We start from the raw sequence: 8,821 nt of genomic DNA, 5'->3' as shown, positions 1-8,821 counted from the left end.
ATAACGCAGGGGCCAACATGAATATTTTATGTTTTATGGTGGCTGGCTTCTAAGAGCCTGAGAGTGAAATGGAAGCTTCCAGCCCCTAGGGATCTAAAATCAGCACATCCCTGCTGCCTTTTTTGGTCAAAGCAACTCACAAGGTTGCCTAGATTGAAGAGGAGGGAAGATAGACACTACCTCTTGGTAAGAGCAACAGCAAGCACACATGGGGTCTTTTCAATAGCTTGGCCTAAAGGAGCATGCTGCTCTCCAGGGGGCGCTGCTGAGTCAACTGCCCTCTTACCTTGGTTTAGGTCATCTCTGTTTCATGAAGCAAAGCCTAGGTTGATTTAAAAAAATAATAATTCTTGATACAATACAGCCTGAAATCTGTATGGATATTCTCTGGAATTCACAACGAGGCTATAGAAAGGGGAGAGGAGCCGGCTGGGGACACAGTTGAAACGATATTGGCAATGATTGGATAATTGTTAAAACTGGGAGAGGCATCCATGGGGCTTATGATGCTATTTTTTTTTTTCACTTTTATGTTTGACAAATTTCCATAATAAAAAAATTATTTTAATTCTAAGTGATTTGTTGAAAGTGGAGATTACGCCTAACCTCATCAAACTGAGTTTCTTGGTTTCTGTTTTTGTAAGGATGGTCCTTGCAGTGTGGGTGTGGGAGGAGCACGTTTCCATTGGAAGGTAGTAAAGCCCTTAGCAAAGCTTGCTGTAACCCAGACTTCATTCGTTTTGATTTGATTTTCGATTTGGTTAGTTTTTGATTGTTTACTGCTTCTTAATAAAGCCTATGTTATTATCACACAAATAGTACATTTCCATAGGAAAAAGAAGAGGAGAAGGAGGAAAAAGAAGAAGATCCAGGTGTGCTAAAAGAAAAAAAAACAAACATGGAAACCAACAAGGCTGTTTTACTCTGTTTTAAATATTTAGCACCTCCATGCTCAGCCTCTACACCACACTTGTTAAGAATGCACTTTTGAAACTAATGAAATGGCTTTGCTCTCTGTGCAAGATATTTGGAGGATATGTCTCAGCAAAAGACAGATAACAGAGCTCTGTGGGGCATTGTTCTGCTGGGCCTCTTGTGTTGTTCAAATGACACTTTAATCTTTTTTTTTTTTTTATTTTAAAAATATTGATTTATCTATTTTTACAATGACAAAAATTATATACATTATTGTGTACAACATGTTACTTTGAAATATGTATACATTGTGAAAAGGCTAAATCTAGCCAATTAATATATGCATTACTCACATATTTATGATTTTGTGGTGAGAACACTTAGAAATTTTTCTTAGTAATTAAAAAAAAACATTGTTATTCCCCATAGTCACAATGTTTTGCAATAGACCTCTTGAACTTATTCCTCCTATCTAATTGAAATTTTGTATCCACTGAAAATTTTGTATTTTTGTATTCACTGAAATTTTGTATCCACATCACCCCAATACACCTCCTCTCCTCCAGTCCCTGGTAACCACCATTGTATTCTCTACTTGTGTGAGTTCAATTATTTCAGATTCCGTATGTAAGTGATAATTGTCTTCTGTGCTTGGCTTACTTCAGTGACAATGTTCTCCAGGTTCCTCCATGTTGTCACAAATGTCAGAATTTTCTTCTTTTTAAATGCTGAATAGTGTTTTATTTTGTGTATTTGCCACATTTTCTTTATTCATGCATCTATTGATGGGACATTTAGGTTGATTCCAAGTTTTTCCTTTTTCTTTTTTTTTTTTTTTTTAATTATACTCTAAGTTTTAGGGTACATGTGCACATTGTGCAGGTTAGTTACATATGTATACATGTGCCATGCTGGTGCACTGCACCCACTAATGTATCATCTAGCATTAGGTATATCTCCCAATGCTATCCCTCCCCCCTCCCCCGACCCCACCACAGTCCCCAGAGTGTGATATTCCCCTTCCTGTGTCCATGTGATCTCATTGTTCAATTCCCACCTATGAGTGAGAATATGCGGTGTTTGGTTTTTTGTTCTTGCGATAGTTTACTGAGAATGATGGTTTCCAATTTCATCCATGTCCCTACAAAGGATATGAACTCATCATTTTTTATGGCTGCATAGTATTCCATGGTGTATATGTGCCACATTTTCTTAATCCAGTCTATCATTGTTGGACATTTGGGTTGGTTCCAAGTCTTTGCTATTGTGAATAGTGCCGCAATAAACATACGTGTGCATGTGTCTTTATAGCAGCATGATTTATAGTCCTTTGGGTATATACCCAGTAATGGGATGGCTGGGTCAAATGGTATTTCTAGTTCTAGATCCCTGAGGAATCGCCACACTGACTTCCACAATGGTTGAACTAGTTTACAGTCCCACCAACAGTGTAAAAGTGTTCCTATTTCTCCGCATCCTCTCCAGCACCTGTTGTTTCCTGACTTTTTAATGATTGCCATTCTAACTGGTGTGAGATGATATCTCATAGTGGTTTTGATTTGCATTTCTCTGATGGCCAGTGATGATGAGCATTTCTTCATGTGTTTTTTGGCTGCATAAATGTCTTCTTTTGAGAAGTGTCTGTTCATGTCCTTCACCCACTTTTTGATGGGGTTGTTTGTTTTTTTCTTGTAAATTTGTTTGAGTTCATTGTAGATTCTGGATATTAGCCCTTTGTCAGACGAGTAGGTTGCGAAAATTTTCTCCCATGTTGTAGGTTGCCTGTTCACTCTGATGGTAGTTTCTTTTGCTGTGCAGAAGCTCTTTAGTTTAATTAGATCCCATTTGTCAATTTTGTCTTTTGTTGCCATTGCTTTTGGTGTTTTGGACATGAAGTCCTTGCCCACGCCTATGTCCTGAATGGTAATGCCTAGGTTTTCTTCTAGGGTTTTTATGGTTTTAGGTTTAACGTTTAAATCTTTAATCCATCTTGAATTGATTTTTGTATAAGGTGTAAGGAAGGGATCCAGTTTCAGCTTTCTACATATGGCTAGCCAGTTTTCCCAGCACCATTTATTAAATAGGGAATCCTTTCCCCATTGCTTGTTTTTCTCAGGTTTGTCAAAGATCAGATAGTTGTAGATATGCGGCATTATTTCTGAGGGCTCTGTTCTGTGCCATTGATCTATATCTCTGTTTTGGTACCAGTACCATGCTGTTTTGGTTACTGTAGCCTTGTAGTATAGTTTGAAGTCAGGTAGTGTGATGCCTCCAGCTTTGTTCTTTTGGCTTAGGATTGACTTGGCGATGCGGGCTCTTTTTTGGTTCCATATGAACTTTAAAGTAGTTTTTTCCAATTCTGTGAAGAAAGTCATTGGTAGCTTGATGGGGATGGCATTGAATCTGTAAATTACCTTGGGCAGTATGGCCATTTTCACGATATTGATTCTTCCTACCCATGGGCATGGAATGTTCTTCCATTTGTTTGTGTCCTCTTTTATTTCCTTGAGCAGTGGTTTGTAGTTCTCCTTGAAGAGGTCCTTCACATCCCTTGTAAGTTGGATTCCTAGGTATTTTATTCTCTTTGAAGCAATTGTGAATGGGAGTTCACCCATGATTTGGCTCTCTGTTTGTCTGTTGTTGGTGTATAAGAATGCTTGTGATTTTTGTACATTGATTTTGTATCCTGAGACTTTGCTGAAGTTGCTTATCAGCTTAAGGAGATTTTGGGCTGAGACGATGGGGTTTTCTAGATAAACAATCATGTCGTCTGCAAACAGGGACAATTTGACTTCCTCTTTTCCTAATTGAATACCCTTTATTTCCTTCTCCTGCCTGATTGCCCTGGCCAGAACTTCCAACACTATGTTGAATAGGAGCGGTGAGAGAGGGCATCCCTGTCTTGTGCCAGTTTTCAAAGGGAATGCTTCCAGTTTTTGCCCATTCAGTATGATATTGGCTGTGGGTTTGTCATAGATAGCTCTTATTATTTTGAAATACATCCCATCAATACCTAATTTATTGAGAGTTTTTAGCATGAAGGGTTGTTGAATTTTGTCAAAGGCTTTTTCTGCATCTATTGAGATAATCATGTGGTTTTTGTCTTTGGCTCTGTTTATATGCTGGATTACATTTATTGATTTGCGTATATTGAACCAGCCTTGCATCCCAGGGATGAAGCCCACTTGATCATGGTGGATAAGCTTTTTGATGTGCTGCTGGATTCGGTTTGCCAGTATTTTATTGAGGATTTTTGCATCAATGTTCATCAAGGATATTGGTCTAAAATTCTCTTTTTTGGTTGTGTCTCTGCCCGGCTTTGGTATCAGAATGATGCTGGCCTCATAAAATGAGTTAGGGAGGATTCCCTCTTTTTCTATTGATTGGAATAGTTTCAGAAGGAATGGTACCAGTTCCTCCTTGTACCTCTGGTAGAATTCGGCTGTGAATCCATCTGGTCCTGGACTCTTTTTGGTTGGTAAACTATTGATTATTGCCACAATTTCAGAGCCTGTTATTGGTCTATTCAGAGATTCAACTTCTTCCTGGTTTAGTCTTGGGAGAGTGTATGTGTCGAGGAATGTATCCATTTCTTCTAGATTTTCTAGTTTATTTGCGTAGAGGTGTTTGTAGTATTCTCTGATGGTAGTTTGTATTCCTGTGGGATCGGTGGTGATATCCCCTTTATCATTTTTTATTGTGTCTATTTGATTCTTCTCTCTTTTTTTCTTTATTAGTCTTGCTAGCGGTCTATCAATTTTGTTGATCCTTTCAAAAAACCAGCTCCTGGATTCATTGATTTTTTGAAGGGTTTTTTGTGTCTCTATTTCCTTCAGTTCTGCTCTGATTTTAGTTATTTCTTGCCTTCTGCTAGCTTTTGAATGTGTTTGCTCTTGCTTTTCTAGTTCTTTTAATTGTGATGTTACGGTGTCAATTTTGGATCTTTCCTGCTTTCTCTTGTAGGCATTTAGTGCTATAAATTTCCCTCTACACACTGCTTTGAATGCGTCCCAGAGATTCTGGTATGTGGTGTCTTTGTTCTCGTTGGTTTCAAAGAACATCTTTATTTCTGCCTTCATTTCGTTATGTACCCAGTAGTCATTCAGGAGCAGGTTGTTCAGTTTCCATGTAGTTGAGCGGCTTTGAGTGAGATTCTTAATCCTGAGTTCTAGTTTGATTGCACTGTGGTCTGAGAGATAGTTTGTTATAATTTCTGTTCTTTTACATTTGCTGAGGAGAGCTTTACTTCCAACTATGTGGTCAATTTTGGAATAGGTGTGGTGTGGTGCTGAAAAAAATGTATATTCTGTTGATTTGGGGTGGAGAGTTCTGTAGATGCCTATTAGGTCCGCTTGGTGCAGAGCTGAGTTCAATTCCTGGGTATCCTTGTTGACTTTCTGTCTCGTTGATCTGTCTAATGTTGACAGTGGGGTGTTAAAGTCTCCCATTATTAATGTGTGGGAGTCTAAGTCTCTTTGTAGGTCACTCAGGACTTGCTTTATGAATCTGGGTGCTCCTGTATTGGGTGCATAAGTATTTAGGATAGTTAGCTCCTCTTGTTGAATTGATCCCTTTACCATTATGTAATGGCCTTCTTTGTCTCTTTTGATCTTTGTTGGTTTAAAGTCTGTTTTATCAGAGACTAGGATTGCAACCCCTGCCTTTTTTTGTTTTCCATTTGCTTGGTAGATCTTCCTCCATCCTTTTATTTTGAGCCTATGTGTGTCTCTGCACGTGAGATGGGTTTCCTGAATACAGCACACTGATGGGTCTTGACTCTTTATCCAACTTGCCAGTCTGTGTCTTTTAATTGCAGAATTTAGTCCATTTATATTTAAAGTTAATATTGTTATGTGTGAATTTGATCCTGTCATTATGATGTTAGCTGGTGATTTTGCTCATTAGTTGATGCAGTTTCTTCCTAGTCTCGATGGTCTTTACATTTTGGCATGATTTTGCAGCGGCTGGTACTGGTTGTTCCTTTCCATGTTTAGCACTTCCTTCAGGAGCTCTTTTAGGGCAGGCCTGGTGGTGACAAAATCTCTCAGCATTTGCTTGTCTATAAAGTATTTTATTTCTCCTTCACTTATGAAGCTTAGTTTGGCTGGATATGAAATTCTGGGTTGAAAATTCTTTTCTTTAAGAATGTTGAATATTGGCCCCCACTCTCTTCTGGCTTGTAGGGTTTCTGCCGAGAGATCCGCTGTTAGTCTGATGGGCTTTCCTTTGAGGGTAACCCGACCTTTCTCTCTGGCTGCCCTTAACATTTTTTCCTTCATTTCAACTTTGGTGAATCTGACAATTATGTGTCTTGGAGTTGCTCTTCTCGAGGAGTATCTTTGTGGCGTTCTCTGTATTTCCTGAATCTGAACATTGGCCTGCCTTGCTAGATTGGGGAAGTTCTCCTGGATAATATCCTGCAGAGTGTTTTCCAACTTGGTTCCATTCTCCGCATCACTTTCAGGTACACCAATCAGACGTAGATTTGGTCTTTTCACATAGTCCCATATTTCTTGGAGGCTTTGCTCATTTCTTTTTATTCTTTTTTCTCTAAACTTCCCTTCTCACTTCATTTCATTCATTTCATCTTCCATTGCTGATACCCTTTCTTCCAGTTGATCGCATCGGCTCCTGAGGCTTCTGCATTCTTCACGTAGTTCTCGAGCCTTGGTTTTCAGCTCCATCAGCTCCTTTAAGCACTTCTCTGTATTGGTTATTCTAGTTATACATTCTTCTAAATTTTTTTCAAAGTTTTCAACTTCTTTGCCTTTGGTTTGAATGTCCTCCCATAGCTCAGAGTAATTTGATCGTCTGAAGCCTTCTTCTCTCAGCTCGTCAAAATCATTCTCCATCCAGCTTTGTTCTGTTGCTGGTGAGGAACTGCGTTCCTTTGGAGGAGGAGAGGCGCTCTGCGTTTTAGAGTTTCCAGTTTTTCTGTTCTGTTTTTTCCCCATCTTTGTGGTTTTATCTACTTTTGGTCTTTGATGATGGTGATGTACAGATGGGTTTTCGGTGTAGATGTCCTTTCTGGTTGTTAGTTTTCCTTCTAACAGACAGGACCCTCAGCTGCAGGTCTGTTGGAATACCCTGCCGTGTGAGGTGTCAGTGTGCCCCTGCTGGGGGGTGCCTCCCAGTTAGGCTGCTCGGGGGTCAGGGGTCAGGGACCCACTTGAGGAGGCAGTCTGCCCGTTCTCAGATCTCCAGCTGCGTGCTGGGAGAACCACTGCTCTCTTCAAAGCTGTCAGACAGGGACACTTAAGTCTGCAGAGGTTACTGCTGTCTTTTTGTTTGTCTGTGCCCTGCCCCCAGAGGTGGAGCCTACAGAGGCAGGCAGGCCTCCTTGAGCTGTGGTGGGCTCCACCCAGTTCGAGCTTCCTGGCTGCTTTGTTTACCTAAGCAAGCCTGGGCAATGGTGGGCGCCCCTCCCCCAGCCTCGCTGCCGCCTTGCAGTTTGATCTCAGACTGCTGTGCTAGCAATCAGCGAGATTCCGTGGGCGTAGGACCCTCTGAGCCAGGTGTGGGATATAGTCTCGTGGTGCGCCGTTTCTTAAGCCGGTCTGAAAAGCGCAATATTCGCGTGGGAGTGACCCGATTTTCCAGGTGCGTCCGTCACCCCTTTCTTTGACTCGGAAAGGGAACTCCCTGACCCCTTGCGCTTCCCAGGTGAGGCAATGCCTCGCCCTGCTTCGGCTCGCGCACGGTGCGCACACACACTGGCCTGCGCCCACTGTCTGGCACTCCCTAGTGAGATGAACCCGGTACCTCAGATGGAAATGCAGAAATCACCCGTCTTCTGCGTCGCTCACGCTGGGAGCTGTAGACCGGAGCTGTTCCTATTCGGACATCTTGGCTCCTCCTCCTCGACATTTTAATCTTAACTGGCACCTGCCCCTGCTCATTCTTGATGGCAGTCAATCAATGTGTTGACAGCAGCCAATGTAGTCCTCCCTTGTACAGCAGCAGCCACCACCACCACCTCCTTTTTGGTCGCCACTGAAGTAGCAAGTGTGTAGAATGCTTGGTTTGCCCAGTGAGTATGTGGCCAGGATCTGTTTTATCAGGCATCTTGTTATTTAAAAACTGCAGAATACTCAGACCAGCTGATGCAAGCTGTGGACATTGTTGAGGTGGGGCAGACTTTCTTCCAGATGCCCTCATTCTCAAGTTCCCCTGCAGCTATAGGTGTCTGCTGGGGCAGCCAGTGGGGATGGATGGACGAAGCCCAGGGCGGGGCTGTCTGGAGGTCTGGGCTATGGAGGTGGAGGCAGAGAGAATCTGGGCTCCTGCCCTCCTGGCAGGCAGGGAGCACGTGGCTCATGGGTCAGAGTGCATCACATTGAGTCCCTTGGAGATTTTCCATGAGGAAGCTCCTGAGGACAGACTTGACTTCCTGCTCACCTAGATGGAACATATTTTATTTTAGAAATTAAATAAAATTTGAACCTTATGGGAACACTGTCAGGTTACCCTGGCCACTTAGAAAATGACAGTCTAAACTAAGTACGGTACCCCAGTGAGTGGAGTTTCTCCAGCAGCAAAGTTGGGCAACTTAAAGAGAGAAGGACCAGATTCACCTTTTTTTCTTCACCTGTGGATGGGCTGGGATGTGGTGTCAGGCAGAGGTGAGGATATCAGACATGCTGGCTTCTTTTGTTGCACCTGCCCTACCCAGTGGAGCAAGCCTTCTGCTCTGTGGAGGAGCTGCTTTCTGAGTAGTGAGTAATGTCTTCCCAAATCATTTTTGTCAATGCATGTATACCATTCTTATGCCATTCTTGGTGTCAAAATGTTCTTAACAATCCCTATGTTCTTAGGATTTGTTTCACGTGACAGAAACCCAATATATTAGTCACAGAACTACTTACTGCTATTAAAAAATGGCCAAACTTTGAGATAGCTGAGACAG

General features: G+C 41.8%; 2 annotated features.

The window, feature by feature from the left end:
- Positions 6,880-7,517: an enhancer, noted in NCBI's record as "OCT4-NANOG-H3K27ac-H3K4me1 hESC enhancer chr18:73559065-73559702 (GRCh37/hg19 assembly coordinates)". NCBI's record gives its function as "activates a minimal SCP1, AML or CMV promoter by ChIP-STARR-seq in naive H9 embryonic stem cells {active_cell/tissue: H9 hESC(naive)}" and the evidence as "EXISTENCE:reporter gene assay evidence [ECO:0000049][PMID:30033119]".
- Positions 7,518-8,157: an enhancer, noted in NCBI's record as "OCT4-NANOG-H3K27ac-H3K4me1 hESC enhancer chr18:73558425-73559064 (GRCh37/hg19 assembly coordinates)". NCBI's record gives its function as "activates a minimal SCP1, AML or CMV promoter by ChIP-STARR-seq in primed H9 embryonic stem cells {active_cell/tissue: H9 hESC(primed)}" and the evidence as "EXISTENCE:reporter gene assay evidence [ECO:0000049][PMID:30033119]".

Source organism: Homo sapiens, chromosome 18 (assembly GCF_000001405.40).
Source record: "Homo sapiens chromosome 18, GRCh38.p14 Primary Assembly".
NCBI lineage: Eukaryota > Metazoa > Chordata > Mammalia > Primates > Hominidae > Homo > Homo sapiens.
This window is presented reverse-complemented; position numbering and strand designations above follow the sequence as displayed.